This window comes from Homo sapiens, chromosome 7 (genome assembly GCF_000001405.40).
Source record: "Homo sapiens chromosome 7, GRCh38.p14 Primary Assembly".
Taxonomy (NCBI): Eukaryota; Metazoa; Chordata; class Mammalia; order Primates; family Hominidae; genus Homo; species Homo sapiens.
Window position 1 is genome coordinate 149,863,128 of NC_000007.14, and position 17,867 is coordinate 149,880,994.

The 17,867-nt window shown below is 54.2% G+C and overlaps 2 protein-coding genes and 1 long non-coding RNA gene across 22 annotated transcripts in view, besides 6 other annotated features; 2 read left to right on the forward strand and 1 right to left on the reverse strand.

Annotated features, from left to right (window-relative positions):
• The window catches only part of ZNF862 (zinc finger protein 862), a 29,105-nt gene extending 24,753 nt beyond the window's left edge, over positions 1 to 4,352 (forward strand). For all 8 annotated transcript variants that reach the window (XM_011516464.2, XM_017012519.2, NM_001099220.3 and 5 more), the window contains one exon: positions 982 to 4,352. In XM_011516464.2, coding sequence (XP_011514766.1) covers positions 982 to 1,157 — 176 coding nt within the window. In that variant the 3' untranslated portion in view covers positions 1,158 to 4,352. The remainder of the gene's footprint in view (positions 1 to 981) is intronic.
• On the reverse strand, positions 4,567 to 10,735 carry ATP6V0E2-AS1 (ATP6V0E2 antisense RNA 1). Its single transcript, NR_027040.1, has 4 exons — positions 10,097 to 10,735; positions 8,515 to 8,669; positions 7,115 to 7,224; positions 4,567 to 6,731 (listed from the first exon to the last, which is right to left on the reverse strand). It is a non-coding gene; the product is annotated as an ATP6V0E2 antisense RNA 1 (long non-coding RNA).
• On the forward strand, positions 9,837 to 17,586 carry ATP6V0E2 (ATPase H+ transporting V0 subunit e2). 13 transcript variants are annotated; one of them, NM_001367791.1, is made up of 5 exons: positions 9,837 to 11,042; positions 11,834 to 11,906; positions 12,471 to 12,518; positions 15,551 to 15,663; positions 16,208 to 17,568. In NM_001367791.1, the coding sequence occupies exon 5, from the start codon at positions 16,224 to 16,226 to the stop codon at positions 16,548 to 16,550; it is 327 nt and encodes a 108-aa protein (NP_001354720.1). In that variant the 5' UTR covers positions 9,837 to 11,042; positions 11,834 to 11,906; positions 12,471 to 12,518; positions 15,551 to 15,663; positions 16,208 to 16,223; the 3' UTR covers positions 16,551 to 17,568. The 13 variants fall into 13 exon arrangements, 12 of the variants coding, with proteins under 12 accessions (NP_001354720.1, NP_001354721.1, NP_001354722.1 ...); NR_110612.1 differs by lacking the exon at positions 11,834 to 11,906 and adding an exon at positions 16,039 to 16,098 and having other exon boundaries at positions 9,841 to 11,042; positions 16,208 to 17,586; NM_001367792.1 differs by lacking the exon at positions 11,834 to 11,906 and having other exon boundaries at positions 15,299 to 15,663.
• Positions 10,369 to 10,578: a silencer, noted in NCBI's record as "silent region_18770". NCBI's record gives its function as "represses an Ori minimal core promoter by ATAC-STARR-seq in GM12878 lymphoblastoid cells {active_cell/tissue: GM12878}" and the evidence as "EXISTENCE:reporter gene assay evidence [ECO:0000049][PMID:35858748]".
• Positions 10,609 to 10,688: a silencer, noted in NCBI's record as "silent region_18771". NCBI's record gives its function as "represses an Ori minimal core promoter by ATAC-STARR-seq in GM12878 lymphoblastoid cells {active_cell/tissue: GM12878}" and the evidence as "EXISTENCE:reporter gene assay evidence [ECO:0000049][PMID:35858748]".
• Positions 10,609 to 11,609: a biological region, named in NCBI's record as "H3K4me1 hESC enhancer GRCh37_chr7:149570857-149571825".
• Positions 10,641 to 11,609: an enhancer, noted in NCBI's record as "H3K4me1 hESC enhancer chr7:149570857-149571825 (GRCh37/hg19 assembly coordinates)". NCBI's record gives its function as "activates a minimal SCP1, AML or CMV promoter by ChIP-STARR-seq in primed H9 embryonic stem cells {active_cell/tissue: H9 hESC(primed)}" and the evidence as "EXISTENCE:reporter gene assay evidence [ECO:0000049][PMID:30033119]".
• Positions 10,939 to 11,078: an enhancer, noted in NCBI's record as "active region_26819". NCBI's record gives its function as "activates an Ori minimal core promoter by ATAC-STARR-seq in GM12878 lymphoblastoid cells {active_cell/tissue: GM12878}" and the evidence as "EXISTENCE:reporter gene assay evidence [ECO:0000049][PMID:35858748]".
• Positions 11,099 to 11,278: a silencer, noted in NCBI's record as "silent region_18772". NCBI's record gives its function as "represses an Ori minimal core promoter by ATAC-STARR-seq in GM12878 lymphoblastoid cells {active_cell/tissue: GM12878}" and the evidence as "EXISTENCE:reporter gene assay evidence [ECO:0000049][PMID:35858748]".
• Positions 17,587 to 17,867: the final 281 nt, after the last annotated feature.

Sequence of the window (17,867 nt, forward strand, 5' to 3'; positions counted from 1 at the left end):
CTTGCTTGAGGGGGAAGCTGTATTAGAAGGGAGGGCAAGTTACTGAAAGCCACAGACAGGAAATTTTTCTCTTCAAGTAGTCACTGAAAACCAAAGAAAATATGCCCATTGTTGGGGTTCTCCAGACCACTCGCGACCACTTGACAAGGATGGAGCAGTGCTCTCTCTCCTCGCGTCTCTAGCTGGCCTCCTTCCGGCTGTTGCTGCTCCCAGTGCTCTCTCTCCTCGCGTCTCTAGCTGGCCTCCTTCCGGCTGTTGCTGCTCCCAGTTTTCACCTCTGAGTCTGTGGTCACCAGAAATGGGACTGGATCTCATGGCTGACAGAGGCTCTGTAGGAAGCAAGGTGGCCCTGAAGCCACAGTAGGGCAGGTGGGGATAAGAAAAGAGACCCCTCACTGATAAGAGAAAGGGAAAGCCGAGAGAGGGCTGGGTGAGTTGCTCTGTGTCCAGCCCTGTGGGTGCTAAGGAGAAAAAAATGATGTCAGGTGTGCCCTGATGCGAGTTACTCTTTCCACAGGGACAACAGGACCAGCACAGATTGGTCCAAACACTGCCAAACTACGCACCGCTGCCTCCTTCCAGGCAGGGCTCTCAGCCTTGGCATTGTTGATGCTGGGGCTGGGTAATCTCTGTTGGGGGCCCTTCCTGTTCACTGTGGGAACTTGAGCAGCATCCATGGCCTCTACCTATTAGATAACCACTGGATACCAGTAGCACACACCCCATTTGTGACCACAAAAATCATCTCCAGACATTGGCAAATGGCCCCTGGGGGACAAAATCGCCCCCAGTTGAGATCCCCTATCTCAGGATAAAAGAATGAACAGAGTAGCAACAGATGAGGGCTGCAAAGAGCAGTCGTGGTCCTGACTTCAGTCTGTTCTGCCAAGCTTTCCTCACCAAACAGCCCCTGGGCGAAGCTGGATGTGGAAGGCGGTCACTGTCAGTCAGTCTAATTGTATTCTCCTTCCTCCCTCACAGGCGCCAGGCTCAGGAAGGAGGAGATGGGAGCCCTCTATGTGGAGGAGCCCAGGACCCAGAAGCCACCCATCCTGCCCTCCAGGGAAGCAGCGGAGGTTCTGAAGGACTGCATCATGGAGCCTCCCGAGAGACTCCTGTATCCCCACACCAGCCAGGAGGCCCCCGGGATGTCCTGAGGGACAGGGAGTCCTTGGGACTGCCTTGGAGACGCCTCTGTGATCACTGGGACAGGCTCTGCAGATTCTAGGCTGCCCTAGGATCTTCTGCTGGTGGCGATGGTCTCTAAGCACCAGGAAGTGGGCAGTGGCATCCCAGAGCAGCAGGGGTATCAGGAGGTGCATGACCTGTTTCCTGAGGCCCCACTCAGCACAGCCATGCCTCACAGCACACAAATGTGCCAGAAGGTTCTATATCTCAAGTTCATTTTTAAGGTGCTGCAGAAAATAACCCCATCATGAAAGGTTTCAGCCCCTGAGTTTTGGTGGCAAGAGGAGTGTCCTGGTAGGGGAGACTGTTGGACATCCCTGGGGAATGTTCCAGGGAGGCTGCCCACAGTCTAAGTGGGAATGGGAAAGACCACCTTGTTAGAGGGGGAGGTTGCCCCTGCTCTAGGGACAGCTGGCCTGGCTGCAAGAGCCCCCAGAGGCATTGTTCTGGGACTTCCTACCCTGGCTCCCACAGCAGAAGCAGTGAGGCCGTGGTCTCGTGCGGAACTCTACCTCTTCCCAGGGCTTCCTTTAGGGCGAAACAATCACAAGCCCTTTGCACAGAGCACCCAAGAAAGTTCTCTTCCTGCAGCTCCAGATGGTGGAGCTGGGCTCTTCTGGCAGGGGGTCTGGTGCTTCCCGGAGAGCCGAGCCGCGTTTAACCCGTGGCATGCCCGGCCCGGTTTACCCAGGAGAGGATGGGACGAAGTTGGAGTTGGGAGGCTTGGGATGCAGCCCCAGCTCTGCTGCAGGCAGTGGTCTGATTAATCCCTTCCTCTTTGTGCCTCAGTTTCCCTCTCCATGAAGTGGCAGCAGAGATCCAAGTGCCTGCTGACTCCCCATCTGCCCTAGGATTAGTGAATGAGAGCCTCGAGCTCCCTCAAAGACCTCTGGCTGCAGTGTGGACTTAGCTGCCATCTGCCCCATCCTCGTCCTTAGTGGGACAGGTAGGAATTTGTCTCCAAAGTCCTTGTTGTAGGAGTTGCTCTCTGAATGCACCATCTGCACGACAGGCTAGTCCACTCTTCTCTGAGCTGCCCTGGGGACTCTGCACCAGGATCTCCAGGGCCCACTGAGACATCCCCGAATGGGCGCTCAGTGACAAGGGCTTTGAACAACCTCCTCCAGGGACTTTGGGCCTGCTCTAGCTTCAGAACCACAGAACCACCGCCCTAGAGGCACAGAGGGGCTTCTGGCACTGCTAGGTTCACACCCTCCTCGCCCCGATCTTCCTTCCACCTAAAGTGAAGCACTTTTCCTTCCAAGGGCAGCTCCGTCTTGGCAGGCTCAGGAGGCCGCTTATCAGGAGGAGGATGATTTTGTCTAGGTTCTGCCTTCCTTAACCATGGGCAGGAAATGAGGCAAGTCAGCAGGCAGGGTTTCTCTGCCCTGCCTGATACTTGTTTTAAACAGGCAGGAAGTGGGCGCCATCCATCCCAGCTTGCTTGCTGCCTGGCTCAGGCAGGTCCTGTGCTGTGCTGCAGGCCCCTGTGGGTGGGCCCTTTCTCCATAGTCTGCCGCTTCCCATTCCCAGGGTAGATGCTGGCATCTGAGCACCTGAGTACCCTTCCTATTCCCAGGGTAGAAGCTGCTGTCTGAGTACCCTTCCCATTCCCAGGGTAGATGCTGGCATCTGAGCACCTGAGTACCCTTCCTATTCCCAGGGTAGAAGCTGCTGTCTGAGTACCCTTCCCATTCCCAGGGTAGATGCTGGCGTCCGAGCCCCTCCCTGGTACCGCAGGTACCCTGGTACCCCACCTGCCCTTTCATCCCCACCCCAGTACTTAGCCTTAGCACTGTTGCTTTCGTGTCATTTTCAGTTCTAGTCAGGAATTCCTTTCTTGCTTTCTGCCTTTGACCTGTGGAAATGTCTCCCAGCCCTGTGGGTCTGGCGGTCAGAGGGACCCCACAGGCCTGTGGTGCGGGAGCTCTGGGAGGTGTTACTATCTGCGTGGCTAAGGCACACACAGGCCTCCTTCTCCCCATCACCGTCTCCATGGGCGTTCAGGAACTTGCCCAGGTCAGGCACTGTGGATGTGAACTCGTGGAAAGGGAGGGAGAAAGGCTTTTTTAGGTGGGGCTATAGCCTCTGCCCTACCCACAGGGATTCCACATCAAGGTGCTGTTCCAGCACACATGCTTCCTGCGGCCTCTTCATCCTTGAAGAATCCCTCAGAGCAGGAGGCCATCCTGTGAGCAGCCGTGAGTGGGTCTCTGTGGGAGTAGTTCTGGAGCTGAGGTGGAAGCTAGGGGAAGCAACTCGCCCTCTCCACGTCAGCATCAGCGTGCTCCGAGGACACCGGCCAGTGCCTTCCTTAGGTGGTGGGAAAGGGGGGTCCCTGTGCAGCGGGGCCACTGAGAATGCTGTTTGTCATAAAATTTGCACTACCCGATTTCTCAAGGGGCACAGGCCTGCTCCGTTCCCCTTTGTCAGCCAATGGCCAAGAAGGAAGAAGATGACTGCCATCTTATTCCTGAACTTCCTCATTCAGGACCCCCGTGGAAACACAGTGAGCATCCTTATCAGAGGCCCTGGCCCAGGCTGGCCCCTTTGCTTTGTTTGGAGAGGCTGGCTGAGTTTCAGCCCCTAGTGCTGGAGACCCCCTTGTTGGAGAGGCTTCCTGTTTATGCCTCACAAGAAGAAAAACCACAGGGCTCTGGGAGGGGAAGAAGCATGCACTCCCGCTTTGGCTGGAGTCCCAGCGCTTGTCGCCACCCTCCTCCTTGCCTGTAGTCTTGACAGCATCCGTATGTACGTGTCCTGGCATTTCCCCTCCCTCTCCCTGATGACTGATACCCACCGGGTCTGACATTCCAAGTAACCAGTATGTAACTGGTAGTTTGATCCCAATAGCCATAGCGACTCCAGGTGGGAGTGAGGGAGCCCAGCCCCCTGTCCTGGAAGATACCTTAGAGTATGTGACCGCGCTCCAGACCCTTGCTTCTCTCTCCTGCAGAGGATGAGTTTCTAGGGTGCTAAGTACCTATCAGAACAGTGTGGAGGGGCGGGTCCCTCATACAGGTGTGTGCTTAGCCAAATACAGTAACTGTGACTGGCCCAGGGATGTTCTCTCCTCTATTTTCAAAGATGAAAGGAGGTTTTAAAAACCATGTTTGATTCCTAACCTTTTGCTACCTGAATAAAGCAGAGTCTATTTCAACACATCTCTGTCTTGTGTGTCCCTAAGCGAGGACCAGGAGCTCAGAGAAGCTGACAGAACGAGCTCTGCTCTCACTCACGAGGGGACAGGGCCAGGAACAGAGGTGGGCAGGGGAAGTGCCTGTGTATTCACCTGATTTTTGTCTTTCAGTTTCTTTCCTCTCTAGTCCTTCAAAGTGAGCTCAATCATTTTTGCCAGTTAGAAGGTAAAGATGAGAGTTGGCTGTTTGGTGAGTTATAATTAAGGGCTTGGCTGCCTTTTCTGGAGTACTGCATAGTTTACAAAGTGCTTTCACATACATGATCTAATTTGGTTTACTGAACTTAGAAAGGTAGACTTTCAAGGAAAAAACATCGATTTCCACCAATAGTAAAAGCTACTGCATCAGACCTGTCACTCAACAGCGCTCCTTGAGGCCTAGCTCCTGAGATCCCTCTGGCGAGCCCTTGCGGCTCCACATCCTCGGGACGGCACGCTCCCACGGGACTGGAGCAAAGGTTTCAGAGACTCGGGATACAGCCAGATCTCTTCGGTGAGGAGACTCAGTCTTACTCGAGTGTATGTGATTTTTAAAAAAGACATTGAAACAACTATGGAAACAGAGGCAAAGGCAGCAAGGCTTTGGGTTTGCGACTGGGAATCCGTGCGGCCTCCCTTTGGTGAAGACCTGACCCCGTGGTGGGGGTGAACAGGGTTTCCTTGACCCCGTCCCAGGGTTCCCTTCAGGACAGATGGATTTCACTAGGGGAAGCGTGATGCTGGTAGCCTCCACTCTCAGGCTGGGCAGGGTAGGCTCCCAGGGAGGCAGCTCCCAGCGCAGCCTCTTCCATCACTCCGGCTGGAGCTAGAAGGAGAGAAGTGAGCTGAGGCTCTAGAAAGTGCTGCACTCCTGCCTTTCTTTTTCCCAAGGGTGCTCTTGACATCTGGAGTGCAGTCAGCAGGCCTTTCCGAGTGGGCTGGCTGCCTCAGATGCCTCAGTCCCTGTTGCTGGGGATGCTTCGGTGGGGCCTCCTCACTGTGGGCCTTCTCTTGGGTCAGTGTGATCCTCGTGTCCCTTCCCTGTGCCAGCGACACTCGTGGGCTTCACGTGGCTGGCCCCTGCTCCCAGGGCTCTTGAGATGCTGCCTCTGACTGCAGCTCCTGCCACACTGGCACCTGTGTGGCCGCTGCTCCCCTCTGCACCTGGGAATAGCTGCCCAGAGACTTCCTGTTTTGAACCTTTTGCCTTGCTCAGGCAGCCAGCAAGGGCCCTGGCACTCACAACAGAAGGGCCCTGCAGTGCTGCGGCTCTGCTGGCGGGCCAGGACAAGCTGTGGGGCGCAGACACACTGGGCACACTCCAGACAGGCACAGGGCCTCTGGGCAGTGAGTTTGCAAGTGTTTTGTGGTCCTGGATCATGCACAGGCTTCTTGGCAGCCAGGAGAGGCTGTCTCTGCATTTAGTGTGCACACCTGAAAGAGCGGCCCCTCACCCACTAGGCAGTGTCCTCCCACATCCCCAGGAGGGTCTTCCTGTGCCATCTGAGGTCCACTTAGTGGAAAGCCTTTGCCACACCAGGACACTTTCAGGACTACTCCCCCACGTGGCTGTGCTCATGGTGGCCAGGGCTATATGGCTCTTGAAGCTCTCCACACACTTGGCACAGATGGATGGCTTTTCCAGTGGAATCAAAAGGACTCAGGCATTCTGAGGCCAGTCTGGCCTTGGGGTTTTTCAGCTTCCCAGAAGCCTGCAGAATCGTTCTGGGGGGTTCCCAGTTGCCTCCAGAATCATCTTCAGTCTTGTTTCTGACTGTGTTACCAAATACTGTGGAAGAAACTCAGATGTTAGCCTAGTGATGGGGACACACTTCTTTTGTTCAGTGTGACCTGCTCAGCCTCTAGCCCCCAGCCCCAGCGAGATGACGGATAAGGCAGCGTCCTGTGGATGCCAGAGCCGGGGCCAAGTGTGGGTCAGCATCCCAGCTCAGAGGAGCGGCCCAGTTTGTCTGAGAACACTGAAGTCCCAGAGCCCTGGGGAGGGGCTTCTGACCAGCACTCCTCCTGCTCTCATTCCAACACACACAAAGGGAATGTCCTGGTCCAGGGAGCCAGGGCTCTCTTGCTGCCATGTGAATAATTCCCTGTAGCAGCCACTGCTAGACAGCAAGCTTGGGAAGCCTTCTTATGCAGAAATCAAAGTCATTTTTATAAAAAGTGTCACAGAGTCCCTTATGAAGACAGCTGGACAGAGCAGGAGCCGACCCTTCCCTGACTGCCCAGTTCAGTGAGCCCGGTAAAATATCTGCCGTCAGCAGCCTGCCATGAGGTGCAGTGAGGACCTTCTACTTCATCCCTCCAAGCTGAGTCGTATCATAAAATGCATACTTTATGTTCCTTCTGCCTGTAGAGAATCAGAAAGCACATGATGGAGGTTTCAGAAAAGGGCTTGTGAGATCGAGCATGTCAGAGCTGAAGATCTGTGTCTGTGAGACATGTCCTCCTGAAAGAGCACACATGAGCTGACATAGCCACGGCGCCGGATTGCCCTCACCCTGATTGTCCCATCAGTGTAGCTTGTCTCAAGAGGTTTACACTGTGGCTGTGTTTCTCACAGGTTACCCAAACTCCTATCATAAAGGCAGGAAACAGAAGTAAAAAACCTGAATCCAAACCACAGGAAGTGCTGCGGAGATACTGATTCGTGGGTTGATCAGAGCCCAGGAGGCACTAAAGGCTCAATGAACATGGTGATCTTTGTGCAAGAGATGTTCCATCAAGGCTTACCTGGCTGGGTGGTAGCTTTTTGGCCTCTGTTGGGGGCTGGGAATCCTTCACCCAAAGCTCATGTTCCCTTTCAAGTCTACAAGTGATCTCTGGTTTGGCAGCAGCATGCACTGTAGGGAGAAAGACAGCCCAGTGCCCCTCAACCCACACTGAGCGCACATAGACCCGTGTCAGTCCTGAAGCCTGACTTGCACCACCCATTTAATGCCCTGGGCTCACCCTATCAATTTGGGACAGCGGGGGTAGGTTGTAAACCTAAGAGAGCTCCAGAAGTAGGCAGGGCCTGGCATACAGGTAGGGATGTTTATTTCAGGGCAACTTCAGGAGTGCCAAGGGCTGATAAAACAGTGCAATTGTCATAATATGTTTTCCCACTGCCAGGGCCCTTGAAGGAGAAACAGGCTCAACTAGTCACAGAGACAACCATGCTCTGGGTCTAGTTCTCCCTGACCCCACAGGCCAGGAGTGCCCCTATTAGATGGCAAGCAAGCAAGGGGCCAAGGTCCTCACCCAGCAAGACTCCCAGCTCCTAATTCCTTCTTATCACATCCTGGTATAATTCCTTCTACTCATGGCCACCAGAACAATGGGTGGAAGGTAGGTGGTTACATCATTAAATGTCACAGGCCTTATTTGCAAAGACAGAGACATCTGGAGCTGTTGTTCTCACCTCCGACACGTGCCCCGTCTGCAGAGAGCATTAGGATGCATCTGTGGCTCTGAGGTGTGATTTCCTAGGGCCTTCAAGTGTCCTGGGGCTCCTGTTCATTTGCACTGGGGGACACTCAGGGAAGTTTTAAAGAGCCTCTTTCAGTGGCTCCTTCTCCTTCTACCCTTTCTAGGAATTCATCAGCCCCATGAAAAGATGAACGATAGAGATGTCACCAACATCAGGACCCCACTCCCTGGGAGATGTCATGGAAACTTGTCAATCACACCCAAAGCACTCACTGAGGAGCCATGGCAGAGCAGTCGGTGGCGCCAATACCAACCAGAAGCCGCCAGGGCAGAGGGGAACCGTGAAGCCAGTGGAATGCACAGCTCCACCTCAGGGGACCGGGGTAGGCGGGGCTGTGTCTGGTAACATGCCCTTTGCCTCACATTAGTGCCTCTGAAAATAGTGTCCTCAGCCTGGGCACAAACCCTAGGGGTGAGCTGGGAGTGTGGAGGAGACGCTGGATTAGGGAGAAGTCTCGGCCATGTGTTCTGGCTCTTTTACTGATGAGCTGTGTGGGCCTAGGCAAGTTACTTCACTTCTCTGGGCCTCAGTTTTATCACCTGTAAAGTGATAGGATTGCCTTAGCCTCTAAGATCCCTTTCAGCTAAAAACAAAGTTCTAGAAAATAAATATGTGGTACTGTGGAACTCTGGGGAGCTGTTTGATCAGGTGAACAGTTTACCCATGGAAATGGGGCTCCAGCACAAAGCTGCTCACATCTTCCAGTCACGCTCCAGGGAACAGCCAGGGCTTGTGGGCCCAGATGAGGCTTTAGTGGTTGGAGAAGGAGCCAGTTCCTGGTTTTAATCCCTTCATGGACCTCAGACCATCACAAAGCTGCCAAACAAATGACACAGGCAATCACATGCAAATTAGGACAGAAATGAAACATCAAAGACATTAAAGGAAAAGAGTAAGAGCTGCAGGCTGCTAATATGAGTGGCTGCTCAGACTCAGCAATGTTTTTGGTTCTGGCCAAAGCCAAGACAAAGGAGCAGAGGCAAAGAAGGAAATACATTTCACTTTACAGCTGTCATTTTCTACAGAGGATTTTTTTTTTTCCAGAACAAAATTCAAAAAGTCCGTCTTTTTTGAGCTATAGAACTTTCGTGGTGATTTTTTTTTTTTTTTTTTTTTTGAGACGGAGTCTCACTCTGTCCCCCAGGCTGGAGTGCAGGGGCACAATCTCGGCTCACTGCAAGTGCAAGCTCTGCCTCCCGGGTTCACGCCATTCTCCTTTCAGCCTCCAAAGTAGCTAGGACTACAGGTGCCCGCCACCATGCCCAGCTAATTTTTTTATATTTTTAGTAGAGACGGGGTTTCACCGTGTTAGCCAGGATGGTCTCGATCTCCTGACCTCGTGATCCGCCCGCCTCTGCCTCCCATAGTGCTGGGATTACAGGTGTGAGCCACTGCGCTCAGCCCTCGTGGTGATTTTTTGAAGGCCTGTATGGACATACTCTTAACTCTATCTCCTGGATGCCAAGTGCACCCTTATCCTAGGCCAGTGTTCTCAACAATGTACACACTCTGGATGAGAAAAATAACCATTGTTTACAATCCAGCTAAAATCTCACCTCCTCCAGGGAGTCTTCCTGGATTTCTCCACCCTCTGAATTCTCATAATGGGCATTTGGCTACTTTGATCACAGGGCTCTTAGAACTGCGCTGTCCAGCATTATGATTTTACCAGAATATATCACTCCTCAACTACTTTAGAAACCCCTCGAAGGCTAGGATGGTATTTTATACCTAACAGTTTGGTGTCATCCCACGCCCACCTCCAACTTACATGAATGTTGGAAGGATGGATAGGGAGGTTTCAACTAGAGAACGGAGAAGGGCGGATGTAACTGGTTCTTGATTTCAGAAAACAGCCAGGAGCACACATGGCTGACGGGGTCAGTGCAAGGACAGGCACATTTCCCTTCTGCATCACGTGGGGACTGCGCCTCCCTATGTCATGAAGCCAGGGAATATGTGTGGCCGGCCGCTTGGGGTAGCACTTGTTGCTAGAGATACCGCCTGGAGGCCACTGATCTGTAAAAGGGATCTCTACAGAAGATAGGGATTTTTGATCGCCAGAGAAGAAGGGATATGTGAGATCCAAACGCCGAAGGAGGAAAGCAGGCTCCGTGGTCTCTTCCAGCCCTGATGGAAGAAACTACCGAGCCTTATTATACTAGGTGCTTTCCACATGCCTATTCATTTAATCCTCCAGCAACCTTGTAAGAAGGGCCATCCCATTTTATATTTAAACAAACCTTAACTACTGACGCAAGGAGTCAAGGATCTAATCCCAAAGCCTCTGCCTGGTTCGCTGCAGATGGATGTCCGCGAGGACGCCAGCCCTCCGCCTCCCGCCGGGTCCCTGAACGCCGGCCCGGCCGGTCCAACCTCATTCCGCTTCCCGCCATCGAAACGCGAAGCCCCCGCCTTCCCCCAAACGTCTCAGCGCCGCTGGGGCCTTTCTGGCTGCGCCGCCTCCGACCCCAGGCCCCGGTCCGCGCCCGCCGCTCGCTAGTCCTGGGAGTGAGGAGAACGCGTGCTGAGGACCCGGCCAGAGGGACAGCGGGGACCGCCCTCCCGCTGCGTCTCTGAAAGCGAGGCCGTTCCTCCCGCGTCCGACCCCCGCGGGGCCGTCAGGTTCGGGGCGGCCCAGGCTGCGGGTCCGCAGGGCGCTTCGGGCCGAGCCGGCGCGGCGCGTGAAGGGCAGGGGACGCCCCGAAAGACCGCTGGGGTGGGACCCCAAGCTCCAGGGGTCTTTGGAAATAAGAATGCGGCGTGACGTTGGCTGTGCGGGCGCGGGGCTGACGCGGACCCTATAACCCATCGCCGAAACCGGGCGGCCGCGCCCCTATTCCTCGGCATTTCTCTCTGTCCGCGGCCCTGCTCAGCCAATCAGCGAGTGGGCTCCTAGGCAGGTCCTGAGTGACAGCGCGGCGGGCTGGATCAGGAGATGCGCGTGCGCGGCCCGGCCCGGCTGATCGCTTCGGGTGCTCGACTCCTGTTGCGCATGCTCAGCGCGCTGCCCGGCTGGGGACCCGCGCACCTGCAGCGCCCGCTGCTCGGCCCTGCATCCTGCCTGGGCATCCTGCGCCCGGCCATGACGGCGCACTCATTCGCCCTCCCGGTCATCATCTTCACCACGTTCTGGGGCCTCGTCGGCATCGCCGGGCCCTGGTTCGTGCCGAAGGGACCCAACCGCGGGTAAGGAAAGCGCGCAGGCCCTGCAGACCTCTCCACCCCGGCCCCCTGGCCCGGCTCGCCCCTCCGCCCCGGGGCGGCGGCTTCCTGCTCTGCAGCGAGCGTCCGCAGGAGGGACGCCAGGACCCCGGACGCCACCTCTGAGGTCTCTCTGCACCTGGGTCTCTGACAGCCGGGAACAGGCAGGAGGTGGGGCGAGAGGGCATATCCAGAAGGTAAAGAGGAGAGTGACATTGGAGATGTCTGTCACCCCTCCTGCAGCCAGTAAAGGGCACAAGTGGGCACTGACGCAGTTTCTCCACTCCTTGCTAGCTGTGTGACCTAGAGCCAATATCAAGTCTCAGTTTCTTCATGGGTAAAATGGAGATAATGTCGACTCCTGCCTTAAAAGGCTGCTGTGAGGATGACCTGCGGTAACGCATTTAAAACACCTACCAGTGCGTGACACTTTGTAGGTATGGGATAAGTTTAGCTGGCGTTATTTTTCGAAGGTCCTCTAGCAGATTGCTGCGCCATTCACCAGTTTCTGCTTCATATTATCTTCAGTTACAAAGCACCCTTCCCTTGACTGCATGTTCCCAGGGGCTGGAGTTTGTCCAGTTCACCATTGTCTACTCAGTGCCCAGCCAGGACTGGCACAACCTGCTTAGTAATGTTGAAAAAGGGATCGCGTGCTCCTGTGTCCAGCACCAGCTTGCAGTGCTTTAGATCAAAGATCAAGGGCCTCGTTTGGATTAGAGTTAGCTTTGCCCAAAGGCCGTTTGGACATGTGAGTGCTGCCTTTGTTCTTAAAGACAGGCAGGGTTTGGGATCCCACAGCTTCACTTTGTAAACCATTTTCGTGTCTTGCGTCTCCTGCTATTCTTGGTGAGTTCTTGCTTCAGTTTGACTGAAATTTCTTTTGCTGCACTTGAAGCATCTGTCTCTGGTCTTCTCTGAGTACACGCAAAGTGGCTAGTCCCTGTTCTCTTTGTAACAACTCACTGGGCCTCAGAACTGGCTCACAGTCTGCCTGCTTCTTGCCCTGTCTTCTAGCCTATTGTTTTCCTTCCCCTTGCTCCATGAATTTTGAATTCTACAGACCACTCCCTGTTGGGTTGCCACAAATGCAGCTCTGTGCAGTGCCTTTCCACAACACGTCTGCATTAAGATGGAGCAATATTGGGTGGTAGAGAAGGGAAATGAAGGGAAGGATTCTTAAGGCAACTTGGATGTGGTCAAGGTTGGCCTCTCTGTGAGGTGACACTTTCAGTTTTTATTTTCTGCCTTGCTATTCTTACCCTGAGTAGAACTCAGCCTCCTGTGTCCAGGAGGCATCAGGAAGGCCAATGGAAAAGAGCTCACACCAGGAGCTCTTCTTGCTCTGGTCCTGGCCAGGCCTTGTGAGGTGCTGGCTGCATTTGTTCTGACCCGTGTCCTCTTCTGCTGCAGAGTGATCATCACCATGCTGGTCGCCACCGCCGTCTGCTGTTACCTCTTGTAAGTACTACTCTCCCCAGCTCAAAGTCAGCCAGTTCCTTTGTCCTCCCTCCTTTCCTCCTCACCCTAGCCTGCTCTTCCTTCTGTCCTGGTAGTAAATGCCTCTTGAAAGGCTGAACCTATAAAACAACAGGAGTGGAGGTGGTGTGGAATGGGAAAGAGAGCAGTGGGCCAGAAGTCATGAACCCTGGGCTCTGGATCTGGCTCTGCCCCCAGAGTTCTGGCCCCCATGGGCTGTAGTTTTCTCACCTGGGCAAGGAAGGAGGCAGGCCACCTCAGTGCTGTCTGTGCCTGACTGGGTCACCTGGAGTGATTGTTCAAACACAGTTTTCAGGCTGCACCCTACACCCATGAAATTACAACTCTCGAGATCTGCACTTGGGAATTCCTGTTGTTCATGAATGCCCCCAGGTGACTGGAATGCAGCCATCTTAGAACCACTAGGTGAGAGGCCAGACGTGGCGGCTCACGCCTGTAATCCCAGCACTTTGGGAGGCTGAGGTGGGTGGATCACGAGGTCAGGAGTTCGAGACCAGTCTGGCCAACATAGTGAAACTCCGTCTCTACTAAAAATACAAAAATTAGCCAGGCCTGGTGGCGCGTGCCTGTAGTCCCAGCTACTCAGGAGGCTGAGGCAGGAGAATCGCTTGAACCCGGGAGACGGAGGTTGCGGTGAGCCAAGATCTTACCACTGCACTCCAGCCTGGGCAACAGAGTGAGACTCCGACTCTAAAAAAAGAACCACTAGGTGAGAGTAAGTCATCAAACTTGGAATAGGTACCCTGGGGATATAGAAGAACATTCCAAGGGACTTGAATACCTGGAGAGTGTGAGGAAATCAGTTTGCAGATCCTCAGTGTCTATTGTTTAGTCTCTTGCTAAAACTGCCATTCACAATAGCCAATCCCTCTTTATTAAAAAAATTTTTTAAAAGGAAAAAGAAAAAGACCCTGCCCCCGCATCCATCCCAAACCTGCGGTTACATTGCTCCATGTTTAGATGATCCTGGCTGCCAACCAAGAGATAAGTTCAAGTTCTAGTTTGTTGGGAGGCCTGTCTCATGGTTAATCAAGCTGCATTAAGGCTGTTGGGTTTCCCATCTTCCTATGTCTTGTACATTATTTTTATGGGTTAAGCTTGGCATCGTTGGGTGTTCTTAATTCAGAATAATCAAAACAGGACAGGTAAAGTGATGAGATGCTCATTCTTTAAGAGGTAACAGATTCTTTTGAAACAACTGGAATATTTTCCAGGGTTGCCAAATTTTTCAAAATACATAGGACAAAACCCACTTTCAAAAAATTTACTTCATTGATTTAAGATTTGATGTTATCATAGTTAAAATTGTTTTATCTGATTAGGTCATGGATTCTTTATTCCTATTAACCAATTCTCTTAATTTACCTTATGTTTTATTGATTGATTGATTGAAATGGGGTCTTGAGACCAGGCCAGTATGGTCTCAAACTCCTGGGCTCAAATGATCCTTCTGCCTCAGCCTCCCCAAGGAGCTGGGATGACAGGTGCACACCATTGCACCCGGCTGTTAACTAATTAGATAATTGACAGGGTCTTACTCTGTTGCCCAGGCTAGAGTGCAGTGGTGGGATCATAGCTCACTGCAGCCTCAACCTTCTGGGCTCAAGCCATCCTCCCACCTCAGCCTAGCTTTGACCACAGGCATGTGCCACCATGCCTGGCTGATTTTTAAATTTTCTGTAGGACAGGGTCTTGCCATGTTGCTAAGGCTGTGCTTGAACTCCTTGGCTTAAGTGATCCTTCCACCTCAGCCTCCTGAGTAGCTAGGATTACAGGTACACGCCACTGCACCCAGAAATGTATAAGCCCTCCTACTGACAAAAACTAAACTTGTTAGAAATAATGATGACTATTAACACATGGTTTAACTTAAACCCACTTTTTTTTTTTTTTTCAAAATTCTTCCTGGACAGAGCATTCTCTGAGGTCCTTTCTCTAATGCTATTTCTAGGTCCTTCAGGGCTTGAGAAAAGATCCTCATCTGCCCATGGCAGGGCCTCAGAGGGGCTTGTGTTTGGTGGCTGGGAGGGTGGGGGAGACGGGGCCTACACAAGATGCGGGGTAATCCCAAATACCAACTGAATCAACATACGGGAAACAGAAAACACACTGCAAATTGGATGCATACAGGTAGAAAGGTGGGGTCATTCTAAGAAAATGTTACGCCTAGAAATTATATTTACAAAACATAAACTCGGAGAGAATGCTGATGTAAAGGAGGTAACAATTTCTGATGGCTTCCTGGGCGTTAGGTCCTCCTACCTACTGTGAGGGATTCAAAGAGGGAAAATACCGATCCTTCCTGCAGAAACAGACAAAGCAGTGTGGATGTGGTCGTGGGGGGCCCTTCCAGGTCAGGCACTGACAGAGCGTGGGGACCTACTAACTACTGTGGCAAATGAAGTTGGGAGCTTTGTCATGAATGATGGGGCCAGACAGCCACCCACACGCCCAGCAGTGATGACAGGTGGGGCAGGTCCCTGAGGGTTTTCTGGCCTGAAGAACAGAGGTGGCCTGGCAGCAGCCTGAACAGGAGGCCCCTGACCCGTCAGCTCCTCACGTCTTGGGGTAGTTCCTTCTCTCATAAGAGGAGGTGATTCTGACGTGCTGCCCGCCAGGCCTGCCCTGTTCGCTCCCTGGTGCATGGAGCCGGGGGAGCCTGGACAGAGGTGTGTGAGGGCACAGCTGGGAGTCGCTCCCAAAGCGCCCCTGAGGCTGCCTCCCCTCTTCTCTAACCCCAGGTTCAGCCCCAACTCGGGGATCCTGCAGATCTACCGAACATCAAATGAAACCAAAACCAAACCCAGAAGTGCCATACCAACCCCATGTGCCTGCCGGAGTGTGGATGGCTCCCTGGGCCCTTCTTCACCCTGGGAACACAGGCCCTGCCATCTGCTGGGTTGGCCGCATCCAAAATAATATGACCGAGGCCTCCCCTGGGTGTGGGAGGACCCTCCTGTGCCAGGCTCACCATGCTTTGCTGTCCCTGGCAGCTGGCTCATCGCCATCCTGGCGCAGCTGAACCCCCTGTTCGGGCCCCAGCTGAAGAATGAGACCATCTGGTACGTGCGCTTCCTGTGGGAGTGACCCGCCGCCCCCGACCCAGGTACTGTGTGGGCGAGGGGTGTGGGTGGGGAAGAGGGGAAAGACAAGGCTTTCCCACACCCAGGGCAGGCCTCGGTCATATTATTTTGGATGCGGCCAACCCAGCAGATGGCAGGGCCTGTGTTCCCAGGGTGACGAAGGGCCCAGGGAGCCATCCACACTCCGGCAGGCACATGGGGTTGGTATGGCACTTCTGGGTTTGGTTTTGATTTCATTTGGTTAGAGTTCTTGTTGGGATTCAGGCATCTATTTATTTCATGAAAAGAAAAGGTGGGGAGGGGACTGAACATCAACTCCCTTCCTGCCTGGCCTGTGTTGGCCGCCAGGGATGAAATGGGAACCATGCTCCCAGCACCCCCCTCCCCCATCCTCACAGCGCTTCACCCCAAGGCAAGACCCTAACCTGGGCCCTAACCTGGACGGAGGGAGGGAAAGGGTAAGCTGAGGACTATCTGGGCAGGGGTGAGGGGGCTTTCCAGGGAGGGTTGGGGGCAGTGGAGTCTCCACTGCAAGGCCGGGACCCTTCCATGTGATGTGCTTTTCAGGTGCCCAGCTCTCGGAATGACTGTGGCTCCACTGTCCCTGACAACCCCTTCGTCCGGACCCTCCCCCACACAACTATGTCTGGTCACCAGCTCCCTCCTGCTGGCACCCAGAGACCCGGACCCGCAGGGCCTGCCTGGTTCCTGGAAGTCTTCCCAGTCTTCCCAGCCAGCCCGGGCCCTGGGGAGCCCTGGGCACAGCAGCGGCCGAGGGGATGTCCTGCTCCAATACCCGCACTGCTCTGGAGTTTGCCCTCTTTCCCAAGGAGATGCTGCTGGGGAGCTGGTATGGGTGGGGTCTTTCCCTTTACAGACGGGGCAGATGCCAGGACTCAGCCCATCCTGAGGAGGACACGTGTCCTCATGGAGAGGGTGCTCCGGCCCAGGCGGGGGAGTCAGTGCCCAGTCAGCAGCTCTGCCACCATCCTGCTGGGAACTGGGGGGGCCTCTATTGGGTTATAGGCAAGGCCTTTTCTCTGGCATGGAATTGTTAATTTTCTGACACGTCTAGATGTGAAATTTCTGAAAATGTTGAAGCAGAGAAACATTCACACACAAAAAGCAACATAGTCATGTGGGTCCAGATGGCCTCAGTCCTAGATGTTGGCACCCTTTGCTGTGTCTCCTCAGAGTATCCTGTTCCGCCTCCTGCCACCTGGACCTCCCTCAGTGGATGTCTTCCCTCCCCCGACCCCAGCCTGTCAGTCCGAGCACAGTGCAGGTTTGGCTCTGACTTGGGCTTTTGGCTGCAGTGGGGGTGGATTTCAGAGCCTCTCATGGCAGCATCTAAGTGACCAGAGCTGGGATGAGAGAGGGGAAGGGGCAATGTGAGTGGCGCTATGGGACGGGCCAGCCCTGCTCCTGAGCCAGCCCCGCCCTCTGCCCCCTGGCCCTGGGCTCTGTGCTAGGGATGGTGAAGAATGGGGGCGTGCCAGCCTGGCAGGAGTGGGAAGCAACACGCAGGGGTCCCGGACCTCTCCAGCCTTGCCCTCACGCTTACCCGAGCTCCCAGTGTGGTTAGCACAGAGCTCACCCACCTTGCCTGGCTCCCAGCTGGGGCCTGTCCTCACTGGTGCTCCAGGGGAAGAAACGACAGCCTCACTTCTGTATGGACTGCTGATGTGGCCTGCCATCCTGTTCAGCGGGCATTGTCTTTGGAGCAGCAGGAGAATAGGATGCCTCTCACTCACATGCCAGTTCCTGGCTGGCCAGCTGCTCAGGGCTCAGGCTGGGGCCTCCCATTGACATCCTCCCCCTACACTCCCTCTCTGAGCCTCCGTCGCCCCTCCTGTTGGGTAAGGGTGTTGAGTGTGACTTGTGCTGAAAACCTGGTTCATATATAATAAATAATGGTGATGAAAAGATTACTGTTTGGTGACAAAGCCCTGGCCTCTGCCTGTGTGCAGGTCCCCTGCCCCGCCCACCTGATTCTTGTTTCTCCAGTGGGTGGGTCTGGGGAGGGGAGCAGGGAAGGATTCTGGGAGCTGCAGTTATGAACACAGATATCCAGGACTACTTTCCTGAGATCTGGAGGAAAATCCGGCCCCCTGCTGACTGCCCGGATTCGGCGGAGAACCAGGCCTGGCAGGAAGACCGAGGACTTGTTCAAGTGCAGCTTTGAGCACCACTCGTCTGGGCCCCAGAGGACACAGTGCAGGACTCC